A 26038-nucleotide genomic window follows, 5' to 3' on the forward strand; every position below is an offset into this window, starting at 1 on the left:
TAGGAAGCCAGATACGAAAAAGTGCATGCTGTATGATTTCACGTTGTATCGCATGATCTGGGTTGTGGTTACATGGAAGTGATGGTTTGTTCATGAAACTGGACGTTTGAGTGTTGTATACTTTATTTGATCCTTGTACTTGTGATTCAAAATTTCATAACAACTTCCTGCTACCCTTTATGATTTGATGTGTGTAAGTAGAGTTTGCAGATAATGTAGTTCTATACTGAGCTATGAATTTATTTTTATAATGTACATTGTTTTGTATTAAGAATCATTCCAAGTGACAGAAAATTTGCGAAATCAAAGTATTAACATTTATAAAACCCTTCTGTTGTTTATACTATTCTGGCCATGACTTTCAAAAGCACTGATTTTTAGGGGGACAGAGTATCAAAGAAAGACCTTGGCTAAAGAAAGCTCTTTCAAGTGGGAAGGGCATCATAGAGAATGGATCTTGAGGAGTGAAAGTCAGGAGATGCCTTCCTACTCAGCTGCATAGCTCATGAAGCTGACAACCCGCAGAGTTATAAATGTTGTGGGTAGATTGCCTTCACACTGGCCTTGCAATCATCTGCTACACTGAGCACCATTACATTTCATGGTGGACATTCTAAGGTGTGACACTGTGTACTCTGCTGTCAGGAGGCTTTCCGGGGAGAAGGGTCTTGCCAAGGATTTCTTGCACTCCCAGCCACCTGACTGGTTTAGTCTGAAATTTCAGTATTCCAGGGTAGTATGAGAAAGGCCCTATCTGGTAACAAAGAAAGCATAAGAAAGATGGCTAAGGGAACAAAGGGACAAGGCTTTTATTTTGTTCTTTACCCACAGATTGCCTTCAAAATAAAGATAAAGCGTCTAAGCCTGGCAGTGCAGGTCTCTTTAAGCTGGCTCCATACCCACCCACCTCATCCTGCACCTGTCACTGCGTGGGACCCTGTGCTCCAGGCAGGGGCACCTCACTGCCCCCTGAGCTCATTTTACCCCTCCTGGCTCTGCAGCATTTCTGACCATTTCTGCCCAGGCCGAGACTCACTGCTGCCCAGAGCAATCTCCCTTCTCTCCTTCTGGAGGGGAGGGGTTGTATGTTACCCGCCTGGTTTTATCCACAGAGGTTAGCAGAGACTGATACAGACAAACCCTTTTTCTTTCTAATTTTAGATTCAAGAGCACATGTGCAGGTTTGTTAAATTTGCCTGACGCTGAGGTTTGAGTTTCTATTGATCCCCTCACCTGAATAGGGAACACAGTACCCAATACACAGTTTTTCAACCATTACTCCCCTTCCTTCCTCCCCCTATTTTAGAATCCCCAGTATGTAGACAAATTGTTTACTTTTATAGCTGTAATTAACCTTATTATAGCTCAGCCTCAACCCTTTAGAGAGGAGGAAACTAAAGCCCATGAGACTTGCTTAAAGATACTAAGTGAACATATTTATTTTTTAAAGTGTTAAAGTGATTAAACAATGTAGACGTGAATGAAATAAAAAGCGTAAGTTCCCCATCTTCATTCCCACTCCATAGAGCTGATCAGTATTTTTACTTGCAGACATTAGTGGAGCCGTAGAGAAAGAAACCTTTTCTCCAAAAGAAGGCATTACTTTACACACTCCGTTCTGCAACTTGTTTTGTTCACTTGCTATTTCACGTCAGCCCATGCAGATGACTTAAAACAAATTCAAATGGAGAAAAGCCTTAGGCATGTTTTTCTCTGCACTAAAGAGGCCCTGCAGGTGGCTGTGGCCAACTTATGCAGTGGCTTCGAGTGAACGAACGTAATTAGTAATTAAGCAAAGCGGGCATCCAGGACATTCAGTTTCATCTTCCTGGCACTTTAGTGTTTAGGAAGGGCCTGGCCTCTCGGGGAGCGACACTCCTCGCCCGGCCACTTTGTAAGAAGCATCGAGCGTGGAAAAGGGGCTGGGGTCAGCACTGGGGCCCTCTGCCGGGAAGAGAGACTGGCGGCCAGCACACGCGTCTCCCCAGGCTGAAATGGGGCACCCTCTCGCGGCCCTTCCCTCCCTTCCCGGGCTGGGTGGCAGGTCTTGGCTCTTCTGCGAGTACCCCGCGGCTGCGGTCTCCCGGCACCCGCTGAGCAGCCTCGCCCGCCTTCCTCTCCCACCCGCCCCTGCGTGCTCTCCGGGGCTCCGGCTTCCTCGGTCTGGTGCCTGGTGCGTATTTTGGAAAATACCTGGCTCATAACCACCTCATTGAGCTCCCAGTGTCCCAGTGGGCCAGCGGACACACACGGGTAGCTGACTTCCCTAACGTGTCCCCAAAGCCTCCCTGGATTACAGCGCCCGCTGCTCCATGTGACCCCGCGGGAGCCAGGACGCGCCCCGCCTCCCGGGGCTGCAAGTTGCGCAGGGAGCGAGCGATGCGCAGCAGAGCTGGGCTCCGAGCCGGATGCGCCTTCCTTTCCTCTCCAGAGCAGGCTGCCCGCCCGCGGAATCCCGCACGTAGAGCAACCTCGCAGCACCCTCAGAACAGCCCCGCTGGGGCGCGCCGGGCTGCCGCGGTGACCTTTCCGACGCCCCTGACCCCGCATCCGGAGGCGGCCGGAAGTGTCGCCGGCCTCCTCCCGGCGCAGCCTCCGGGCCTCCAGTGCAATCACTACGCCCTGGGGCCCGGAAACCGTTTTCCGGTCTTTCGCTTTCGGCTGGGGCGTGGAGGCCGCGGTGCTGCGTAGGCCGGGCCGGGCGCAGGAACAGCCCCGTGGCGCCCTCTCTGGCCGCCGCCCGGGCGGGAAACGTCGTTCCGGGGACCGGGCGACCCCGCAGCGGGGAGCGCGCCAGGTCCGCGCGGGGAAGTGGGCGGTGTGCGGCCGGCACCGCCTCGCACCACGCCCCCGCGGGCCCGCACTTTCCCGGAGTGCACCCCGCGGCCGCCAGCCGGGGCGATGGCGGGGCTCTGGCTGGGGCTCGTGTGGCAGAAGCTGCTGCTGTGGGGCGCGGCGAGTGCCCTTTCCCTGGCCGGCGCCAGTCTGGTCCTGAGCCTGCTGCAGAGGGTGGCGAGCTACGCGCGGAAATGGCAGCAGATGCGGCCCATCCCCACGGTGGCCCGCGCCTACCCACTGGTGGGCCACGCGCTGCTGATGAAGCCGGACGGGCGAGGTAAGGGCCGGCGCTCCTCCTGGAGCGCAACGGGGTCCGCAGCCCCGTTCCCACCCTCCGATCAGCCAGGAACCCGCTGCTTGTGGCGCTGGCCGCAGGAGAGAGGAGCCTGTCACCCTGTGGAGAATGCACTCCCAGTTCTAGTCGTTGCCCCTTGGCACCCGCCGACACTGCTAGTGCCCCATCCCAAAGTGAGCATTTTCTTTGTGTGTAGCACAGGATGCGGTATTTCCAAACCCCTGCCCTCGGTCTTTTCCCACCTCACCGCTGCTCAGCTCTCAAAGCCCTGCCGTTTCCTCCTGCCTTGGCTTGGGAAGCCTTAGGAACAGAAGCTCCCTGGGAGCACAGAGCGGTTTTAAACTGGCCAACACCTTAACGCCCAGAGCCGCCCTCCTCTCGCTGCCACTTTGGAAAATAAGAGACTAGAGATTCACTGGACGCTTCCTCCCGGCATCACAAGACTTGACTGCTGCTTCAGTTCCCGCTTGACCTTCATACTTTAGCCCTTTAAAGGATGTTACATAATAACAATTAAGAGACGGCAGGGCCTTCAGGCAGACTTCTTTGGAGGGTGTCAAACGCCTTGTTTATTAAAGAGTGAATTTTTTAATTAAAATCATGTTTTAAAACAGAGATGGACATTTTATTGATGGAAAAAAATCACGTTAAGTTAGAAAGCTCTCAAAAGTACCTGGTATTTACAACTCCCTGTCAGGGAGGGCGAACTCGATCTCAGAGTTTTATTTTCATCAGGGATTACGTTGAGGTACCCAGAAATGAGAAGATTTGCCCAAAATGGCATATTTTAAAATTGGCCCAGACCAGAACCCAGTTTCCTCTGGGATTATTTGTTAGTAATCGTTTTACAGGCTGAGCATTAACTAACTCCAAAGCTTGAAGGACTTTTTCTCATTTTCACTTGTTTTCTCTAATAAAAATAATGCTGTAATTTCAACTTCACAAGATGAGGCCTCATGGAAGAGTGTTTACCAAAATATTAAAAATACTTTGACAGAAAAAAATCAAGCGAACTCTTTGCCAACCAAATATCATCATGACTGATGTAACAAGTAATCCAACACAGATATGAAAATCACACTGGTAAAAATCATCTCAGTTAATTCTAAAAGCAGAGCTAACCACCCCTTTTGTCCTAAGGCTTTATGGTATTAAAAAATAAACTGTACAAAAATATAGATTTTCCCCTATCCCCTACCCCTGGAAAGTAATATACTGAAGTCTCATCATACTGTTTTGGGGATTCCAGTAATTAAAATCTCTAGTGAATAAAGACCTGTTTCAAAACAACCTGTGAGCTGACTGGACTATTTAAAGTAATTCTCCTTGTAGTCACTTTCAGAGTGAAGACAATGACGAATACTGTCTTTTACAAAGGGACTTTTTATTCCACCAACAAATTCTGGATTTTGGCATCAGGAAAACCACTGTTCAATTTCCAACACTATATCCAAGTTGTTTGAGAAATTATTTAAAACTCTTTAACTTAGAGGGTTTTCTTTCTCCTTTACTTGTTAAAGTGACTATATTACAGAGTCACTTTAAGGATTAAATTTATTGCATGCAAAGTTTCTAGATCACTGTCTAGAAGTCAGTTAGAGTAAGTTCTTTAGTTGTCAATCAAGCATTTAGTAAGGCCCTGCTTTGTGCCCAGTGTTGACCTCAACAAAGTTGGGGATATCAGAATATTCTAAGATACAGTCGTTGTTCCCAAGAATCTTGTCTTTCACATACAAGAGGTGTTGCGTTTCATTTTGCGGCTAATGTCCAAACGCTGGCCTCAGCCATTTCACCTTGAAGATTGCAGTTGGCTTCCAACTGGCCTCTAAACTCTAATCTAGCATTTTCCAGTCCATTGTGACAAAGTCTGCCTTCCCCAGCTACTCCCAGCTGTTGGACCTGCTGCCTTAGAACCACAGATTGAGACCTCCCTGTCCCCTCTGTCAGACCAGACCAGGGCAGGCAGTATATTTGCATGACGCAGGATGATTGACACTGGTGATTTCACCCAGCTCCCTTCATAGCAATTTTGACAACTGCTTCATCTGAGAGACATTTGGAAGCAGCATAGTTTATGGTGAAGTTCTGGAGTCTCGCTCGGTACAAGCCAGTTTCCACCATTTACTAGCTCTGTGATACTGGGCAGTCGTTAGAAAGAATGCCCGTTCTGGGACATCAAAACCTAATAATTATTATTCTCTAATAGCTAACATGCATTATGTGTGTTTATTTGCTGTGGCAAATACTATGTTGAAAAAAACTTTAGACTTACAGAAAAGTTGCAGTATTACAGGCAGTTCACACATGCTCTCTACCTGGCTTCCTCTAACAGTAACATATTACAGAATTAGTATATTCATCAAAATGAGAAAACAAACCTTTGTCCAATACTGGTCACAACTTTCTCATCTTGATTGAATTTCAAATTTGATGTTTTTCCCCAGAATTTTTTCAGCAGATCATTGAGTACACAGAGGAATACCGCCACATGCCGCTGCTGAAGCTCTGGGTCGGGCCAGTGCCCATGGTGGCCCTTTATAATGCAGAAAATGTGGAGGTGGGTACATGTGAATATGATCAGTATTGTACTGTGTATCTGACAGTGTGAGAATCTCACCAGAATCAATATAACGTGTCCTTATATTTCAGCCATTTCAGCACAAAAAACATTCCACTAAGTATTTTAGACTATATAGGTGCAATTTAATGCTTTCCAGGTATAGCCCGAATCCTGGGAGATTAACATTCTCCAGATATAAGTGCACAACTGCTATCAGGTCCCTTTATATTTATTCTTTTTTTGAAAGGATATCGTTTTTTAGAAACACAAATAAATTATTCCGCAAGGCAAGCACTTGTTATCCACCAGACGCTATTTTAAGACTTCAAAAATATATGACTAATAAAATATGTTTCCCTCAAGTTGCTCAGGGTCTCATATCAATGATAAACTTAGTCCAAATTTAAAAGACAATGCAAATTTGATATTTATGGGATAAATATTACAAACCCATGCTGTTGAAATTAGTCCTCCAAAAAGCTGTAGTCTTTTTACTTGTTGAAAGGTCTGGGGAAATCATCTTGTAGTATGGTGAGAAAAGGATTTGGGTCAGGAAACAAAGATGGGGTAAACAGAGCTTCTCTTCATCGACCAAAATTAAAGACTGAATTTCCTAGGAAGTAGTGCCAGGACATGTCTTTCTAATTATGGTGAAAATGTTGGAGTTTCTCTTGCTTCTCCAGAATCCTGGCTCAGAGAAGAGAGCAAGAAGGGCAGACAGGATTTCTGCCGCTGTTGGCCTAGTGTTAATAGAAGTTGGTGTGGTGGATGCAGATGGAGATCTGTCCAGAGTAGGGGACTTGAGCAAGAAGCCTGGTGGGCACCCTGTGCTCAGCCCTAGACCCCATCCCTCCTCCCACTTCACGTGGACTCTGGGTGATCCGATCACGTTCATGGCTTCCATTGCTGCCTCTATGCTGGGGACACTCCGAACAGGCATCTCCAGCTCAGGCCTTATCTTGGCTGTCTCACTTGCTTTCAGACCACAGCAACCTGAAGGCCTCAAAGTTACCATCACCTGAAAATACACCTATGATTTCCATCTCCCCACATGTGCCCACCCTCCAGATTCGCCTCCTCCCACCTCACTGTCCCCCTCCCCACATTAAATAACTCCACTTGGTTCCTGGTTTATGGCGGGAACCAGAGAATCATCTGGGACATCTTTCTTCCCCCCAACTCCATTGAGTCCCCAAGACTGAATGCCAGTTTTATGTTCAAAACTCTAACTGAATGTCTTTGAGGCACAGGACTGAAAATGAACGACGGAGAAAATAAATGTTGTGAATGCCCTAAAAACTAGCTGTATTCTAGCCAGTATTCCTATAATTACAGGAAGGTTGTTTGATGTCTGTATGTCTCTAAAGTATGTTTTTCTCTTCCTAAGGTAATTTTAACTAGTTCAAAGCAAATTGACAAATCCTCTATGTACAAGTTTTTAGAACCATGGCTTGGCCTAGGACTTCTTACAAGGTATGCCAGTGTACCTTTGTAAAGCTGTCTATAGAAATGGTTACTTCTACGTGCAACTTGTTATTTCAAGAATTAACACAGGGTAGCTTTTTCTGTAGCAGGACTGTTCTCTCAGAAAGGAGGAGAAAGGCTGGAAAGGAAGGTCCAGCTGGCAGCTGGCCTTTGCCCGTCAAGAGGCCAAGAGTCCAGGTGAACAGTTATCTTCAGCTGTGGTATTCAATAGCGACTGTCGCCAGTGTTCAGGAAGACTCAGGAGGTCCTGATGGACGGGAGTGGACGGGATGGAGGACACAGTAAAGCAAAGGAGTGTCTGGAGCAGGGAAATCTTGAAAATCCAATCAAAAAGATGGTCAGCCCCAGAGAAGTACAGTGAGCTGGTATCTAGAAACAGGGCTCCATCCTCTGAGAGAGGGCCCCACAAGAGCAAGGCAGGAGCCTAGCAGGGACTTTGGAGAACTGGAGAGGGGAGAGATCAAGGTAGAACCATGGAGTGTGAGGATCATCTGAGGACTGAGGTATTGATGGAAGGAGAAATAAATTTATTATTAGAAACTCGGAACTTAGAAATTGAGAAAAATTCTTAAATTTTTCAATTTTATGAATGCTATTTTAAACATGTATAGAACAATGTCCAAAATACTCATATTTTGTAACTATAGATGAATATTTTATAGATATGTGTATATCTTTGTCATTCTGCCAAAAGCATTTGAGAACCTGTAGATGAAGCTGTTTCAGGAGAATTTTGTTGACTTGCTATATTTATGCTTTAATCGTTTTGGATGTTACTTTTCTCTTTCTCTCTCTCTCTCTGTAGATATATTTTTTGTAACCACATATTTTATTTCTAGTACTGGAAACAAATGGCGCTCCAGGAGAAAGATGTTAACACCCACTTTCCATTTTACCATTCTGGAAGATTTCTTAGATATCATGAATGAACAAGCAAATATATTGGTTAAGAAACTTGAAAAACACATTAACCAAGAAGCATTTAACTGCTTTTTTTACATCACTCTTTGTGCCTTAGATATCATCTGTGGTGAGTCTCATCGATCTGTTTCTAAATTTATGGCATAAAGAGAAAATGGCCCAAACAGGAAATCACACTCCACCGGGAAGGCAAATGGGGGGACGGGAAAGGGTGACGGGCTCTTCAGCGCGGTTCTACGACCGCACTGGCCTTCTGAGGAGCAGCAGCCACGCCCAGGGCTGTGAGTGGGGCAGGCATGGAGCAACTGCCCAGGGAGGCGAAGGGAAGGAAGAACAGGAACAGGGAGTAGAAGTGGACCGTACAAGAGAAGAGGGTAAAGGGAGGAAGAAGAATTCTGAAATATACAAGGACAAAGCAGGATGTACGTCTTTAGTGTCTGCCGCTGCAAAATAAACACGAGATAACTAACGTGCGTGAATTGAATGGTTGCTTCTCACCCATATTTTATAGAAACAGCTATGGGGAAGAATATTGGTGCTCAAAGTAATGATGATTCCGAGTATGTCCGTGCAGTTTATAGGTAAATGGAGTCCTTTCAGTTATTTTAACAATTATTATTGATTTAGGCTTTAAAAATTATTGCTAACAATTTCTGCGTTGTATCTTTTTATGGTTTCAAAATTAAACATTAAACTAGAAGTTAACCTCATCATGTAAGCATGTGTTTAAGCAGTAAAGGTTATGTAAATTATGGCACATCTAGATTATGTAGTAATTTAAAATGATTATTCTCTAACATTGAGATTACATTATATTGTACATAATGATGCTTACATTATGATGCTGAGAAAAGAAAGATATAAACAGTTTTCTGTACCATGATAATTGTTATATTTAAAAATTATTCATAGAAAAAAACTAGCAGATATTATAACAGAATGTTAGCAGTGTTTCTCATTGTCTCGTGTATGTGTTTCTCATTCTTGTGCTTTCCTTTTGTTGTTATTCTTCTTCCCATATTTTCTGCACCAAGTAGGTATTGTTTTAGTCATCGAAACAGTCAATTTTACTCTAAAATTGCTTGCAATTATTCACCTGTTAAAAGGCAGGGCAAGGACTTGATGAAGTACAGAGAAGTGCATTGAGCTGAGTATATTTAAGTCTCCTGCTCATTTCACTTCATTTTAACCAATATTTATTAGGCATCTGTGATTTTCCAATCACTGCACAGGGTACTGACTGGTTTTGTAGTAGTACACAAAACAGAATAACACAGGAGGCAGGCAACGGACAAAGAAATTCATGAACTGTAATAATTGCTCAGGAAGAAAAGATCAAATTGATACCAGAGAGCAAAACAAGAAAGTGTCCTACAGAGTGAGAGGCCAGGAAAGGTCTTTCTGAAGAACCGGCACCTAAGCTGGTCCTGCAGGAGATCACATAGGGGTCTTTCTGCTCTATGGCTGGACATGAAAGGGAGGTGCTGGGACAGCCAAGTGACAGATGGGTACTTAGAGAGCCCTCGCTTGTAGAAGAGGGCAGCCAGTTGTCTTCTGTCACTCCAGAGGAGTGGTCAGACCAATGATGGACCTTAAAAAGAGGCCGATTTCATCTCAAACCCTGGTGCAGAGGTCCTAGGCAGAGTGGGAAACTTGCCCTGGAGAAGCAGAAGCAGAGACCAAATGGCTATCTAGTAAGGATGTTTTATAATGAATCCTTCATTCCTTTAAAGAGCCCATTATTTTCTGAGGCTTCATGGGATGCGTAATAGCCCATGCCTTCACTGCTAAGCATAAAACATGGAGCTCTTAGTAGCCTCTAAGACAATCATCGTCATTCCCACGATTGCCTTCATCAAGGCCAGGTACTAAAGAAGTGCTCAAGAAATACACATTTCTGATACAACAGCTGATGTATTTTTATCCCATTTATAGAATGAGTGAGATGATATTTCGAAGAATAAAGATGCCCTGGCTTTGGCTTGATCTCTGGTACCTTATGTTTAAAGAAGGATGGGAACACAAAAAGAGCCTTCAGATCCTACATACTTTTACCAACAGTGTAAGTCCCTGACTTTTACAATTGTGGTAAAATAGACATAACATAAAATTTCCCTTTATAACCATTTTAACTGTACAGTTTGGTGGTATTAAGTGCATTCACGATGTTGTGCAACCATCCCCACCGTTCATTTCCAGAACTTTTGGTAAGTCCATGATGTTGATGTTTTGTTAACATACCCGGTGTAGGACTATGGAGCCTATGTCTCAGAAAATAAAACTTGAATAATAATAGAAAACAATTTTTCATATAAAAAATTATACTTAAGTATAAAAATGTATACTTCAATTATGTAGTCAACAAATATTAATTAAGTACTCGCTAAGTGCTAACCACCATACCAAATGTTGGAAATGTAGTAATGAGTAGGACATGTGTATATGGTCCGTACCTGAAAGGAAGTTATTCTAGTAGGAGAGGTGATCTATCAACACATAATTACAACATGTGATATGAGCTGTGAACACTTATGAACAAACAGGGTGCTGTGTAAAAGAATAAAGGAACAAAGATCTATGTATAGGAGTTTTCTGGAAAATGTTTGGATTCGGCAGTCATTTTCAAAGGCAGAGGGCATTGATAGCAGTATCTTAACATGGAAAACATTAAAACTAACTAGATATTAGTATTCTATTTCCAATTCAAAAATAACCAGAAGATAGTGATGTTGTTTTGAATATAGGATGTCAATCTTTGTGTTAATAATGTGTTTTGAAAAAGCAAGACTTAATTGAAAATATACATCAAATTATAATTTCAGTGTATTAAAAAACTGCCTGTTTAAATATGTCCTTTCTTTGCTGTAAATTTTGGTTAAAATCTATTGGAGTTATGTCCTTGTGGTGAAGTACACCCTACCCCCAAGAGAGCAAATGATGAATAAATCAGTAGATGTTCCATGAATGCAATGTTGGCTGAGCTGGCCACAGTGGAGTGTGATCACCTGGTTATAGGAGAATAGCCAGCAGGTTATATTTCATAATTATATTTTTCCTTAAATTTTGTGCATTAATATTTAATAGCAATAATTAAATGAATTCCAGACTGAATAGACAATTTTATTCATTGAATAAACATTGAGAATTGCCTACTGAGGCCTGGGCTCTAGGAATTCCACCAAGAATAAAAAAAGACATGGTGTTTTGCCCTCAAATTGCTTAGAATCTATTCAGGCCACTTAGTAGCAGGTTTGGTCAATTACCTGGTAGGAAAAGAAGGTTGAAATGTACAACCAAATTAAGTGTATTGGCCTTCATTCTTTTATCCATCCAAGAAATATCTAGTGAGTATTTGTTAAATGCCAAGCAGTGCTCTAGAGGTTGGAAATGTATCAATGAACAAAGACATGCACAAGCATGGCAGTGTTTGAGTTGTAAGAGAAAGATGCTAAATAATAAGTATAACGTAAGTATAATATCACATTATAATAATAAGTATGACAGAAGTATCACATAATGTCAGGTGGCAAGGGAAATGGAGAAAAAGCATTGTTAGGAGGCGTCGCAGTGCTAGGGACAGGGGTAGCAGGGATGAGGGAGGTCTCTCTGATCGTGTGACAATGAGCAGAGATCTGGAAGAAGGGAGGGGGCAGCCGTGCAGGCCTCTGAGGAAAGCATTTCAGGCAGCAGAAATCGCAAGCATAGAGGGTGAATTCACTAATCTGCTTGCTGTTTCTTTTCTCCTCTACAACATGTAATTAAGTCTATAATTAGACTGTTGTATAATGATTGCATTCACTCTACCACTTAAACTTTTTCTCATTAGCGCAATCCAATCTCTAGGGTACTATCTAGTAGACTATGATTCTATTCTTGTGTTGGAAAGACTGCAAAAATAGCACTTGAAAATTAGGAATTTGCGTGACATTAAATTTGTTTTTAAAAGTTTCACCAGATAATCCCCAAAATATTAATGAGGCTTTACTGTATTTTCACAAGAGCCTATGTTGTCGAAATGTTGAAATAGGCTTAGAAAAATAAATGAAAGAAACTAGCATATTTTATAAGAAAATGTGTTAACTAGGGTGCATCCAAGTCCAAACAGAAGCATGTGATTATCATTCAAATCATACAGGTCATCGCTGAACGGGCCAATGAAATGAACGCCAATGAAGACTGTAGAGGTGATGGCAGGGGCTCTGCCCCCTCCAAAAATAAACGCAGGGCCTTTCTTGACTTGCTTTTAAGTGTGACTGATGACGAAGGGAACAGGCTAAGTCATGAAGATATTCGAGAAGAAGTTGACACCTTCATGTTTGAGGTATTGTATATTGTTAGGTTCAGATATCATTAAACAAATTTCAGTTATTGTTAGAATCTTTAGCATTATTTTTTAAAACAATCAAATTTTAAAGTAGTTTAACTAAAGAAGATTCATTATATTTTAATTAGAAATTACAAAATTTAAGAAACTGATTAAGTACCAGCTCAACTTCTTCAGAAAACGATTTTGACTAGTGCTGGGCACAGCAGTAGACACATTTGTTTTTCCTCAAGAAAACCTAAGATTTGTCAGAGTTTTCCCAAGCAGAAGAGCAGCCAGAGATTGCTCTCAGTTCTCCATGTGGCTTCAGGCTTCCTTCTAACCTCCCAGACATGCAAGTCCACTTCCTCACCACCTGCTTTCTGAGGTTCCAGCAGATGAGCACTTAGCTGCTGCCATGAGCTACTCTACCTAGAGGACAGTTAAGAGCCCTCCAACAGAGAATCAGCCAGTTCATGATTCTAAAAAGATCTCTGATCTCAAATTTATACATACATATGTGAAGTACATTTTAGCAAGATAGCCTAAATATTAAATCCTACAAAGAGGGACTTTCTCTATATGTGGATTGCAAAATAAATAAAACATGGTTTTTAGAAGCCATGTAGTAATATCGTCCACATGGGGCAGAGTGAAAGGCACCTGAGTTTTTAATGGCTCTGCCTGCCACCCACGTGTGAGCTGCTCTGCGGCAGCCTCTGGCGGCAGTGCCAGTGTCCTGCACTCTGGTGTGAGGCTCCACGACACGGTAGAAGAAGGTTGTGTGATGGGTCTTTCGATCCGAGTTCCAGTTCAGGCTCTGTGCTGATTAGCCAAATAAGATAGTTCTGATCATTCCAGAGTTCTGTCACAATTTTCCTATGTGTAAAGCGAGAGATGGACTACGTTGGTGGTTTTAAACTTTTTTAAGCAGAAAACTTTACTGAAAATAAATCTTAAGCAGAAAATGGACATCTAAATTAGCTGAAAAGTAGAGAGGTGTTAAGTGTGTGGGCTCTAAGATCAAATCCCAGCTAACATGCTGGGACCATGACCTCAAGCACCTCACCTAGCCGTTCTGGGCCTGAATATTCTTATTTTAATAGCACAAGCCTCATGGAATAGTTATGATGATTAGATTTGTAAAGGTGCTCTGAGAATCGTGATTGGCCCATAAGTATGCGGCACATACCGGGTGTTATTATTGCATGTCGGAGTAGAGAGATCTCACATCTTCACCTTGCCCATGTACTACACACACACACGCATACACTCATGTAAACCCATGCACACACATGCACACACTTACACACACACATATGCTCATGCACATACACATGCACAGACACATGTATATACCAACATACACACATTCACATATACACACATACACAAACACATGCACACACCTACATACACTCATGCACATACATGCACACACAAACATATGTATATCCACATGCGCACACACGTGCATACACTCACACACAAATATACACACACACCCAGATACTCATGCACATACACACACATGCACACATATACCCACATGCACACATGCATGCATACACATGCATGCACACATATACCCACATGCACACATGCATGCATACACATACATGCACACACCACCCCCCACAGAGGCACACATTCATGTACATTTATGCAATCATACAAAAACACATGTACACACCTACATACACACATGCGCATATACACATACATAGATGCACATATATACACACATGCACACATAAATGCACACAGCTATGTACACTCGTGTACATAAGCACAAAGGCACACACAAATACATGTACATATCCACGTACACACATTCATATATGTGCACAACCCCATACACATATGTACACACATGTGCACACACACATCCATCTCCTACCAGGAACCTCTCAATCTCACGTAAACAATCAGAACCAGACTAATGATTTTTCTTCCAACTCTAACATTCCTTGACATTCTAATTGTTTTCTTCTTTGCATTGAAAGGGAGGCAGCATACCAGGTGTGAGTGTGATACTGTGGCCTCCTCCACAGGTCGGTGCAGGCTGTGAGTGACACTGTGGCCTCCTCCACAGGCCGGTGCAGGCTGTGAGTGTGATACTGTGGCCTCCTCCACAGGCTGGTGCAGGCTGCAACTGCCCAGGTTCCAGCTGTGAGCTAAAAGTGGGCGTCCTCCCCTGCTCCACCAGTGTGCCTCGGTGCTTTACGTTTGCCTTATCATGCTTTCTGCAGTTGGCAGATGAAATGAAATCGGAAGTTCAGCAGACTCCTCTTATGCATTTGGATCAGGCTTCCGCTCATAAATTCAAGGAAAGCTATTAAAATTGTTTAGCCAGAATACTTCCTTCCGTACTTAGACAACTGAGCACAACGGGCCGGAGCTCATCTGGAGTTCCGAGTAGGTTTTGTAACTGCAAGTGCTAGGAAAATGCAGAGGCGCCGACCTCAGGACCTGTAGGCTGTGTCTTTTAAGAATTGCAGAATAAGCCCCGAGCAATTCATTTTAGGAGCTGTTTTATAAAACAAGTACTTTGAAGATTTCTGCACAGAGAATGAAATATTACAAAAATCACTTGTGCCACATAGGAAAAATGGAAAAGTGAGATCTTTTATAGAGGAAATAATTTGTTTTTTCTTTTTGTCCTCAAAGTTTCAGAGAGGTAGATTACTGTTATTGACTTTCCAGATACATTTTTTTTTTTTCTGAAGAACTCACCACTTTTGCATATGGAAATGTGCTAGGGAGATGAGGAGGTAGATAAGAAGCCAGGTCCTGAAATATCAAATGGGTGGGAAAGAAGGTTGCCCGAGACATTACACTAGCTTAAGAGGTGGAGGCGGAGACGTTACGCTACCGCTAAGAGGTGGAGGTGGAGACGTTACGCTGGCGTAAGAGGTGGCGGTGGAGACGCTACGCTGGCGTAAGACGCGGCGGTGGAGACGCTACGCTGGCGTAAGAGGCGGCGGTGGAGACGCTACGCTGGCGTAAGAGGCGGCGGTGGAGGCGCTACGCTGGCGTAAGAGGCGGCGGTGGAGGCGCTACGCTGGCGTAAGAGGTGGCGGTGGAGACGTTTCGCTGGCGTAAGAGGTGGAGGTGGAGACGTTACGCTGGCGTAAGAGGTGGAGGTGGAGCGTCCTTACTGCACAGGGTGTGGAGGGAATGGCGTGGGCTCAGCTGGCTTTGTCATCGGACACGCCGCAGGCTCAGTTTCTGCCTCTGTTTCCCACTAAGCTGTTTAGCACAGAAGAAGTTATTTAACCACATCTTTGGCCTCAGTTTTTAATCTCTGAATTGTAAAGAACAGTAATGAGTCTTTCATGGAGTTTTTGTGCAGATTAATTCAGTTTCTGCAAAGTGCTTAGTATTTTGCCTAAAACTCAGCAAGTATGAAATGAGGTTGTTGTCAATTTTTACTGCAGAGGATATGACTTAGAACCACACCTCTACCCCCTGGTGCCCGTCATCAACAGGTGAGGCCCACCTGACAGATGGGGGAAGGCAGAGAAGTACAGCCCTGACAAGCAGGCTCGTGAAAATCAGACTTTGTTCTGTTCACAAAGGCGCAGCTCACCTCGTGCCCATGGAACGCCGCCTTTATTAACACAGCACAGGCACGTCCCACCAGCGTGCAACACCGTGCGGCGTGGAACTGCCATCTCTAGGCATGAACCTCCGCTTTGCAGGCTTGTTTCCTTGTTTGTCACCGAGGCAAGGTGCTGCACAGAATTCATTTCTTATGTTTGCAGTCACAGTGCAGTCATCAAATCCAGAGACAATTCAAAAGAGGTTTCTGGTCACTCCTAATCATCGCAGCATAACTCTGCTTTTTAAGCTATTGTTTTCTGCATTTGTAGGGGCACGATACAACTGCAGCTGCAATAAACTGGTCCTTATACCTGTTGGGTTCTAACCCAGAAGTCCAGAAAAAAGTGGATCATGAATTGGATGACGTGTTTGGTATGTTTGGCCCCTTCACTGGTTATATTGTGGTACTAAGTCTGCTGCAGAGATGTCACTGTGTTGTAAACACAGTGTAATGAGCAGGAAGGCTCCCCCACGGGATCCTTTCCAGTACCATCCCCTTTGCAAGGCCTCGTCCATTCACTCACAGGCCTCTGCCAGTCGCCTGGCAAGTGACTGTACTAGGCCGGATGCTGGGGTGCACTGATGCGTGCTGCTGTCCTCAAGGGTCTCACTGCTACCCAGGCGAAACAGAGGCTTTGAGTCATGGGTCGTGCATTTGAGTGAAGAAGGTGCTATTTGGGAGAAAGGAGGAGCTGGTGAAACTATTTAGAAAGGTACAGGAAAGCTGTTTCGCAGATTGCCTCTCACCACAAAGGAGAGAAAATGTGGATTAAAAAGGTGGATTAAGCTTCGAGGAGATACATTTCTATTACACAGCAAGCAGCCCGGAGGAAAAGTCCTGCCAGTAGGATGTCCAGGGTCCCAGACTTGCCCTTTTGCTCCCAGCCATCCCTACCATCTTGGCTTTTGTCCTCATGATTGACGTTCCAAGCATCACGTTCATCTTCAAGGCAGGAAGACAGGGGAGGTGGGGGTACCGGGTGTGTTGGTGTCCTGTGGCTGCTGCTGTGACAAATCCACAGACAGGGAGGTTCACAGCAGCGACGTCTGTTCCCTCACAGTTCTGGACACCCGAGTCAAAGATCAGTGTCATTGAGCCCACATCACCATGTGGGCAGGGCTGTGGCCCACTGGGAAAATATCCACTCCTTGTCTCTTCAGCTTCCGGTGGCTGCCAGCATTTCTTGGCTGACAGCCGCATCACTGCTATCTCTGCCAGTCTCTGCATCGCCTTCTCTTTTCTCTGGGTGTGAGTGTGTGCACGCACGTGCATGCATGTGTGGTGTGTGTGTGTGTGCATGTGTGTGCTTGTGTGTCTTTCACAAGCATACTTGTGACATACTTGTGATGGCGTTCAGGGCTCACCTGGATAATCTACCCACTGTAAGATCTTTAATTTAATCAAATCTGCCAAGAGTTCTCTTCTTCCAAATAGGGTAACATTTACAGATTGCAGGGATTAAGACCTGATATTTTGGGGCCCATTATCAGTCTGCCACAAAGAGGCTTCCATAGATTTTATCCTTGTTAAAAATCACGTGTCATATGGCCCCCAATAGCTGCAAGGTGAAAAGGAATAAAGTTGAGTTAGCCAAGCAACAAGTGGTATCTGATGCAGTTTTACAGTGAGAAGCAGGGAAAGAAAACTAAAGGAATAAAGCTGGAGAGAGAAGGCATTCTAGAAAGAGAGGAAGCAGATGAGCAACGGCACAGAAGTGGAAAGGTTTCTGGCATGGAGGGCAATAGTGGAGAGTGAGAGACCGCGAGAACTCATCTCTCATTCACTGGGAGATGAGGATGGAAAAGCAGTTTTGTGTGCAGATTGTGCTGGGACTGGAATTTCATATTAAGAGGCAAGCTTTTATTTTGCAGAATGGACACCATCTAACACTTTTGGCAACATTTTTGTCATCATTTTATCTTTTTAACACTGATTTTAGTTTTGCTTAGATTGCCTTGAGTGGATAAATTTGGTCTTCCAAAAGCTCACAAGTTCTTTTGGAATAGGCTTCAATCTTTTGTATCCCCTACAAAGTTTAGCTCATTACCAGTTTCACAAAGCTTTGTGGTCCTGCAGAATGAGTGACACAGTCATCATTACTAGAAGCTTTGCTCTGTGATTCTTGTGTTTTCTGCTCATTGTGCCTCACTTTTTCTTCTACCCCCAATCCTAGTTCTAGAATTTTTGAGCAACTAAGCTGGGCTCGGTGGCTCACGCCTGTAATCCCAGCACTTTGGGAGGCCGAGGTGGGCGGATCACGAGGTCAGGAGATCGAGACCATCCTGGCTAACACAGTGAAACCCTGTCTCTATTAAAAATACAAAAAAATTAGCCGGGCATGGTGGCAGGTGCCTGTAGTCCCAGCTACTCGGGAGGCTGAGGCAGGAGAATGACATGAACCCCTCAGGGGGCGGAGCTTACAGTGAGCAGAGATTGCACCACTGCATTCCAGCCTGGGCAGCAGAGCAAGACTCTGTCTCCAAAAAAAAAAAAAGAAAGAAAGAAAGAAAAAAACATTTGAGCAACTATTCTTTGTGTAGTGAGTTATTACTTTGCATTATTAATTAATAATTAATTATTAAATTATATTTATATTAAAAATTATATAATATATAAAATATATTAAAATATATAAAAATATTAAATAATTAATAATTAATACTTTGCAAGTATTAATTCCTTAAATGTTATTTTTTTTTTTACTGAGGTAAATGTCACATAACATAAAATCTACCATTTTAAAATGTACATTTCAGCAGCATTTAGTACCTTCACCATGTTGTACGATAGTTATGTCTACCTAATTCCGGAACATTTTCAGCACCTCGAAAGGAAACCTGGTAGGATTAAGCAGTCCCTCTTGATTCCTCCTTCCCCTGGCCCTGGAAGCCTGTGATTTACTTTCTGTCTCTCTGGATTTACCTATTCCGAGTACTTCCTATATATGGATTCGTACAATATGTGACCTTTAGTGTCTGTTTATTTTACTTGGCACATTGTCCATTTTATTTTGATAATGCATAATGTTAGAAATTCTGCTTTAGCTGTGGCTATTTAGCATCCCCTGCCTTGATCCACATGTTCTTCTTTGATGGGTATTTAGCATCCCCTGCCTTGATCCACGTGTTCTTCTTTGAAGGGTATTTGATGGATATTTAGCATCCAGTACCTTGATCCACGTGTTCTTCTTTGAAGGGTATTTGATGGGTATTTAGCATCCAGTACCTTGATCCACATGTTCTTCTTTGATGGGTATTTGATGGGTATTTAGCATCCCCTGCCTTGATCCACATGTTCTTCTTTGAAGGGTATTTGATGCGTATTTGATGGGTATTTAGCATCCCCTGCCTTGATCCACGTGTTCTTCTTTGAAGGGTATTTGATGGGTATTTAGCATCCAGTACCTTGATCCACGTGTTCTTCTTTGAAGGGTATTTGATGGGTATTTAGCATCCAGTACCTTGATCCAAGTGTTCTTCTTTGATGGGCATTTGATGGGTATTTAGCATCCCCTGCCTTGATCCACATGTTCTTCTTTGAAGGGTATTTGATGCGTATTTAGCATCTAGTACCTTGATCCACGTGTTCTTTGATGGGTATTTGATGGGTATTTAGCATCCAGTACCTTGATCCACATGTTCTTCTTTGAAGGGTATTTGATGGGTATTTAGCATCCCCTGCCTTGGTCCACGTGTTTTTCTTTGAAGGGTATTTGATGGGTATTTAGCATCCAGTACCTTGATCCACATGTTCTTCTTTGATGGGCATTTGATGGGTATTTAGCATCCCCTGCCTTGATCCACGTGTTCTTCTTTGTTGGGTATTTGATGGGTATTTAGCATGCCATGCCTTGATCCACCTGTTCTTTTTAGATGTCTGCACCCCCAGCCCCCACTGCTCTTTCAGGTCATCTTATCTACTTGCTTTCATCAGGGAAGTCTGACCGTCCCGCTACAGTAGAAGACCTGAAGAAACTTCGGTATCTGGAATGTGTTATTAAGGAGACCCTTCGCCTTTTTCCTTCTGTTCCTTTATTTGCCCGTAGTGTTAGTGAAGATTGTGAAGTGGGTAAGTATGCTATACCTAAAGTAGAAGGGAGAGGGAAACTTTCTAATGTCTACCTTGCTCCGGTCTCATAATGTATTGACTACTTCTTGACAGCAGGTTACAGAGTTCTAAAAGGCACTGAAGCCGTCATCATTCCCTATGCATTGCACAGAGATCCGAGATACTTCCCCAACCCCGAGGAGTTCCAGCCTGAGCGGTTCTTCCCCGAGAATGCACAAGGGCGCCATCCATATGCCTACGTGCCCTTCTCTGCTGGCCCCAGGAACTGTATAGGTTTGTATCCATCTGAATTGGTTTGACCTTTCAGGCCCACTTGATGGTGGGTTTCTCACAGTGATTTCTTTGAGATGTGATGTGACATTGCCCATATGCAACAGCCTTAAAAAAAAAATAGGTGGTTTCTTTTTTCCCTCACTGTGCTTTGTAGTTTTAAAATATTACGGTCAAAAGGTATATTAGTATATTCGCCTGCATGGGCTTCCATAGCAAAATACCACAGACTGGGTGGCTTAAACAGCAGAAATTTATTTTCTCACAGTTCTGGAGGCTGGAAGTTCAAGAACAAGGTGTTGGCAGGGCTGGTTTCTCCTGAGGCCTCTCTCCGTGGCTTGTAGATGCCATTTTCTCCTTATGTCTTCACTTGGTCTTTCCTCTGTGTGGGTCTGTGTCCTGATCTTCTCTCCAGTCAGACTACACTAGGGCCTACCCCAATGACCTCACTTATACTTACTGACCTCTTTCGATTACCTGTCTCCAAATACAGTCATATTCTAAGGTATGGGGGGGGCTTAGAATTTGGAGAGAGACACAATTACCCATAACATAAAACATAATTAGCTTCATGGTAGAGTTTCAAAATGTTGTAGAGTTTTAATTACAGTAGAATATAACTTATTGTGGTAAAAACTTTATTAATGATTACTTATGGTTAACCTAATTTTTGTGTTTATTGCTTTTAAGAATTTCATTTTGCAAATCAAAACAGCAAATGCTTGCCATATGGCCAGCTAGTACTTAAGCAAAATGAATGCACATCACCACCCTGCATTATAAACCCTTTTGGTTTTAGTATCTCTAGCATTTTGTCATTTATGTAAATGCAGACATCGGTAAAATGAGGCCAGAGTGAAACGGGTGAATCTGAAGCTTTTTTGGTGAATCCATAGTAAATGAAAGACCCACTAAGACATAATCTAGGGTAGTGAGTCTCAAGCTTGAAGGAGCTCAGGATTTATCTGGATCAGCTGGAGTACAAATTCTCTGATCCTCCCCAGCTATAGATGTGCAAGGTGGGATCAGGGAGGGAAACTCAAGACTCTTCATCTTTAACAGGTGTTCCAAGCCATTCTGGTTCTCCTTCCACCTACTGCGAAAATGTAAAGTGGCTCGCTTCCTATGACAGGACCTCTTGTTTCTCACATTTGGGGTAAATCTATAACTAAAGCGATGGTATCTACATTAATTTGAAGGTCAAAAGTTTGCTGTGATGGAAGAAAAGACCATTCTTTCGTGCATCCTGAGGCACTTTTGGATAGAATCCAACCAGAAAAGAGAAGAGCTTGGTCTAGAAGGACAGTTGATTCTTCGTCCAAGTAATGGCATCTGGATCAAGTTGAAGAGGAGAAATGCAGATGAACGCTAACTATATTATTGGGTTGTGCCTTTATCATGAGAAAGGTCTTTATTTTAAGAGATCCTTGTCATTTACAATTTACAGATCATGAGTTCAATATGCTTGAATCCCCTAGACCTAATTTTTCCTTGATCCCACTGATCTTGACATCAAGTCTAACAAAGAAAAAGTTTTGAGTTTTGTATTTTCTTTTTTCTTTTTTCTTTATTTTTTTTTTTTGAAACCGTGTCTCACTCTGTCGCCCAGGCTGGAGGAGTGCAGTGGTGTGATCTCAGCTCACTGCAACCTCCACCTCCCAGGTTCAAGCAATTCTTCTGCCTCAGCCTCCCAAGTAGCTGGGATTACAGGTGCCTGCCACCATGCCTGGCTAATTTTTTTGTATTTTTAGTAGAAACAGGGTGTCACCATGTTGGCCAGACTGGTCTCAAACTCCTGACCTCAAGTGATCCACCTGCCTCAGCCTCCCAAAGTGCTGGGATTATAGTCGTGAGCCACCACGCCTGGCCAGAGTTTTTTATTTTTATCACCACCATAGATGTTACAGTTGGCTGTGGTCACAAAAGTAGTTAATTGTGTCAGCACCCAAATAAACATCTAACAGGTTTCTCAACAGAGGAATCCACAGTCCAATTCCACTTCAATTGATAGACCCAAAAAATATAATTTAATCAAAGTTCTAGAGTTTTTGTTTGTTTGTTTGAGATGGAGTCTTGCTCTGTCGCCCAGGCTGGAACGCAGTGGTGACATCTCGGCTCACTGCAACCTCCACCTCCCAGGTTCAAGTGATTCTCCTGCCTCAGCCTCCTGAGTAGCTGGGACTACAGGCGCCTGCCACCACGCCCAGCTAATTTTTGTATTTTTAGTAGAGATGGGGTTTCACCATGTTGGCCAGGATGGTCTTGATCTCTTGACCTCGTGATCTGCCTGCCTCGGCCTCCCAAAGTGCTGGCATTACAGGCATGAGCCACCATGCCTGGCCCAAAGTTCTAGAATTTTTTAAAGGTATTCATGGTGACTCAGGAATACACACATACACACACACACACACACACACACACACACACATACACACATATAATTTGAAAGAGGTGAGTATGTACTCTGACTTCAGCTCTCAGGTTTTAAAAATTATATTAGTGGGACCAGTTATGACAAGAATAATCATTATAGTACTTTTCAGATTTTATAACCTGGAGCAGATTATTTTAAGTTGATTAGTAGGTTCTGTTACAGTTTTTCTTTTGATCGTGCACTTATAGTCTTCATTTAATTCCTCATAGAATCCCAGTCACCTTTATATATCATATTATTGGAAGAGATTCATCTTCATAATCTCCAGTTTTTTCACAGTGCCTCACAGAGTTAATCATGCCTTTTGGAGCTAGAAGGACTTTAGAACTTATCTAGTTATGCTCCTTTATATTATAAGTAAGGGAATAGAATCAATAAGACAGTTTCTGCCCAAAGTCATGTTACCAGTTGGTGACAGAGCTGGAAATACGTAGAGATCTATACCCTTAAATCTCTCCACTCACATGCTGATATACTTTCTACTACAATATGCTATAGCTTTATGGAACTCAGGGTGATGATCAGACGTGTCATTAGAACATGAGTCCTCTGCTTCTGATTCAGGCATACTTTTGGGATTCTTCCATCTTTAAAGGAAAAAGGAAGCCATTCATCTATATTTAGTAACCCAGTAATATCTCACTTAGTTTAGGGTTAGATCTTTAGTTAATTCAACCTTATAGATCATACTTATGAAGGTGATAACTGACACGTGTTCACTGAATTTTAATTTGATAGGCAATACATCTACCCACTCCATTATTTTTTAAAACTTCATTTAATAGTTTAAACAAGATTGGTTTTGTTTTCAATTTTTATTCACTCTTCATAGAATCACAATTACCTTTATATATCATATGTTATTGGAAGAGATTCCTCAGTAATCTCCAATCTCTCATAGTGCCTCACAGGGTTGGTCAATGGCTTTTGGAACTGGAAGGACCTTAGAACTTATCTGTTATGCTCCTGATAGCCAATAGCAGATAGAAGCTTGCAATCAAGAGGGTAGGACATGTGTTCTTCAATGGATATCAAAGGAAGAGGTTGCAAACCAAAGCCATTTGGCAAGCCCTGTAGCCTGGGCCATTTAAGACAGGGGCGGTCTCAGCCAAATTGCACCCATTTAACTATCCCAAAGAGCCACAGTGCCTACAACCCAGGCCCTAAGTTGATGAAGAAAAAGTCAAGGAAGGAGGTGATACAATTGGAAATATTCCCATCAAATGGTTAATCTTATTTAGAAAATGGGCATATTAGAAAAAGTCCTTCCAAGATGATTTTGGATAATAAAAGTTGTATTTGTGGAAATTGGTATTATCTCTGTTTTATGCACTTACATTTATCCCTTACATTTTGTTTTTAGTGACCCTACATGACATTAAATTTAAAGTAAAACATTGTTTAATGTTACCTTTTGGCTTGAGAATGTCTTTCAGCTCCAGAATTATTGTTACTCATATTTTAATCAGTAAGTCATTTAAGCTATGACAGAGTAGGAATTGAGAAATTATTTCATATGCTACAGTATTGAAATGTGGATGCTGCCTTGTTTTATAAGAAGATGATCAAGGTTTGTGTGCCCATTACCTTTCCTCTGCCTGAAAGACGTGTCTCAAGAAAAATAAATTCTATTTTAGATGCAGGTACTGCATTTTATTCTAAGAATTGATATCAATTCAAAACATAGAAAACTGTAAAAGATAAATCAGGAGATGGCTGATTCATAATGGGTAATAAAATAAATAGCACTTTCGAGCTGATGTCGTCAGTGACTCTTGGATTTTCTAACAAAAGGTTCCTTTACTGTTGTCATAGAGAGATTGTGAATTTCTCTGACTCTGAAGAATCAACTAGAAGAAGTAGAATCACCAGAACATTTTGCTCAGCTGAAAGCACAAAGTAAACTCAGTTACTGGGAATCAGCAAAAACCACAGGCATCACTGGTCCCAGGGATTTAGAGTCCAGAAACCTCTCCAGGTGATGGACTGTTGATTTGGGGCTCTATGCATTGTCACAGACAGCTGGGGATATCAGTTTCTGGACCAAATGACCCAATAAGAGATGCTGGTCGTAAAAATCCATTTTTATCTGGAATGTTTCTAGAAGATCAAAACCTTTTTCCTTCCAGCATCTAATGCCTGAGTGATACATTTAAAAATTTTTAGTCTGCGTGGGCACCCTCTTTTTCTAGGAGCAGCACTTTTTATTTTTGAAATTATCCTACAATGAATTACCGGCTTTTCTTCTGTTCTCATCTTTTTCCTTCCCCAGCATACACACACTGTAAATATGTGCCATATTCTTAGGCAATCCCACTTTCTCAACCTTTGTTGAGTGACCCAAGCAAGGTTAAATTCGAGTTCTCCCCAACGAGTTTTCCCAGCTGCAATTGAAGAAGAGATACAGTCCATCTCTGTGGTGGAAACTCCAGGTTGTGAAACTCAAGATCAATCAGCAATAGAACCTCTGGAGCAGCTGCTGGGTGATGAGAAGAAGCAGGCAGAAGAAATGGACAGAATCCTGGAGGAACCTGAGTCCCACATGGCAGGTGATGCTGAGGCTCACTGCATGTCTGCCCTGCTCACTCTTCAGTGGGTCCACCCTACTTGGGAACCCAAGAGCCAGTATATTGCCGTTTGCTTAAAAGGACTGTCTTTCATTTATGACCAAAAGCGAGTTAGTGTGTGTCAGGTCAGCCGAAGGATGAAGGAAGGGCCCCCATTCTCTGGATATGATCTTAGGTCTTCACCCTATTTTCTTTGTGCTGTTCAATAATTCTCTGTATTGGATCATCAGCATATATGCCCACCAGTCCTTTAAATGCAATACCATTTAAGAAAATGCAGAGTTTTCTCTTTTCTAGATAGTAGGAAAGTTAAAGTTACACTGCATTGTTTTAGAAGACAGCTAGGCTTAACCTAACACATCAGTCTAGTTTTTTGGTTCTGCCATGATGACTTTCTGGACTAATTAGTCATTTTTCTCCTCTAATTAAACCAGGTTCATTTTCCTGCTGGCTAGCTGTATGCCACATTTCAGGGATAAATCTCTCATCTCTAATTACTAAAATGGACTCGTTGCATCCTTGCCTCAGTTTCTTGTCCAGAAGTTCACCAAATGGTTATTTCCTTGGGCTGAATTCAGTTTTGGAATTAACTCCAGCATTTAGCTGTTGATCTTGTTCTCTTTATCCTAGTAGATAAGTTTTTGGCACGTTCTTTCTCCTTCCCATCATTATCTCTCCTCTTTACCCGTC

General features: G+C 42.9%; 2 protein-coding genes and 1 long non-coding RNA gene across 5 annotated transcripts in view, besides 2 other annotated features; 2 read left to right on the forward strand and 1 right to left on the reverse strand.

The window, feature by feature from the left end:
• FLJ38576 (uncharacterized LOC651430) lies at positions 110–2568 on the reverse strand. Its single transcript, NR_046264.1, has one exon. It is a non-coding gene; the product is annotated as an uncharacterized LOC651430 (long non-coding RNA).
• Positions 2442–2971: a silencer, noted in NCBI's record as "silent region_15858". NCBI's record gives its function as "represses an Ori minimal core promoter by ATAC-STARR-seq in GM12878 lymphoblastoid cells {active_cell/tissue: GM12878}" and the evidence as "EXISTENCE:reporter gene assay evidence [ECO:0000049][PMID:35858748]".
• CYP4V2 (cytochrome P450 family 4 subfamily V member 2) lies at positions 2645–24541 on the forward strand. Of its 3 annotated transcripts, none has more exons than NM_207352.4 (11): positions 2645–3115; positions 5578–5690; positions 7081–7166; positions 8018–8208; positions 8611–8680; positions 10035–10161; positions 12235–12420; positions 16278–16380; positions 19943–20077; positions 20171–20350; positions 21547–24541. In NM_207352.4, exons 1-11 carry the CDS (start codon positions 2902–2904, stop codon positions 21717–21719), a joined length of 1578 nt encoding a protein of 525 aa, NP_997235.3. In that variant the 5' UTR covers positions 2645–2901; the 3' UTR covers positions 21720–24541. The 3 variants fall into 3 exon arrangements, with proteins under 3 accessions (NP_997235.3, XP_005262992.1, XP_047306033.1); XM_005262935.5 differs by having other exon boundaries at positions 20174–20350; XM_047450077.1 differs by lacking the exons at positions 2645–3115; positions 7081–7166 and having other exon boundaries at positions 4326–5690.
• Positions 12975–13024: an enhancer, noted in NCBI's record as "active region_22267". NCBI's record gives its function as "activates an Ori minimal core promoter by ATAC-STARR-seq in GM12878 lymphoblastoid cells {active_cell/tissue: GM12878}" and the evidence as "EXISTENCE:reporter gene assay evidence [ECO:0000049][PMID:35858748]".
• KLKB1 (kallikrein B1) overlaps positions 21931–26038 on the forward strand; it is a 47619-nt gene continuing 43511 nt past the window's right edge. The window contains exon 1 of the mRNA XM_047415661.1: positions 21931–25330. The gene's annotated coding sequence lies outside the window, so the exon portion shown is untranslated. The remainder of the gene's footprint in view (positions 25331–26038) is intronic.

The sequence above is a fragment of the Homo sapiens genome, chromosome 4, assembly GCF_000001405.40.
Source record: "Homo sapiens chromosome 4, GRCh38.p14 Primary Assembly".
Classification (NCBI taxonomy): domain Eukaryota; kingdom Metazoa; phylum Chordata; class Mammalia; order Primates; family Hominidae; genus Homo; species Homo sapiens.

Coding starts and splice junctions, on each gene's coding strand:
- CYP4V2 (NM_207352.4), top strand. CDS start 2,902: ATGGCGGGGCTCTGGCTGGGGCTCGTGTGGCAGAAGCTGCTGCTGTGG. Junction 8,209..8,610: donor TGCCTTAGATATCATCTGTG/GTGAGTCTCATC, acceptor CATATTTTATAG/AAACAGCTATGGGGAAGAAT. Junction 20,078..20,170: donor TAGTGAAGATTGTGAAGTGG/GTAAGTATGCTA, acceptor ACTTCTTGACAG/CAGGTTACAGAGTTCTAAAA.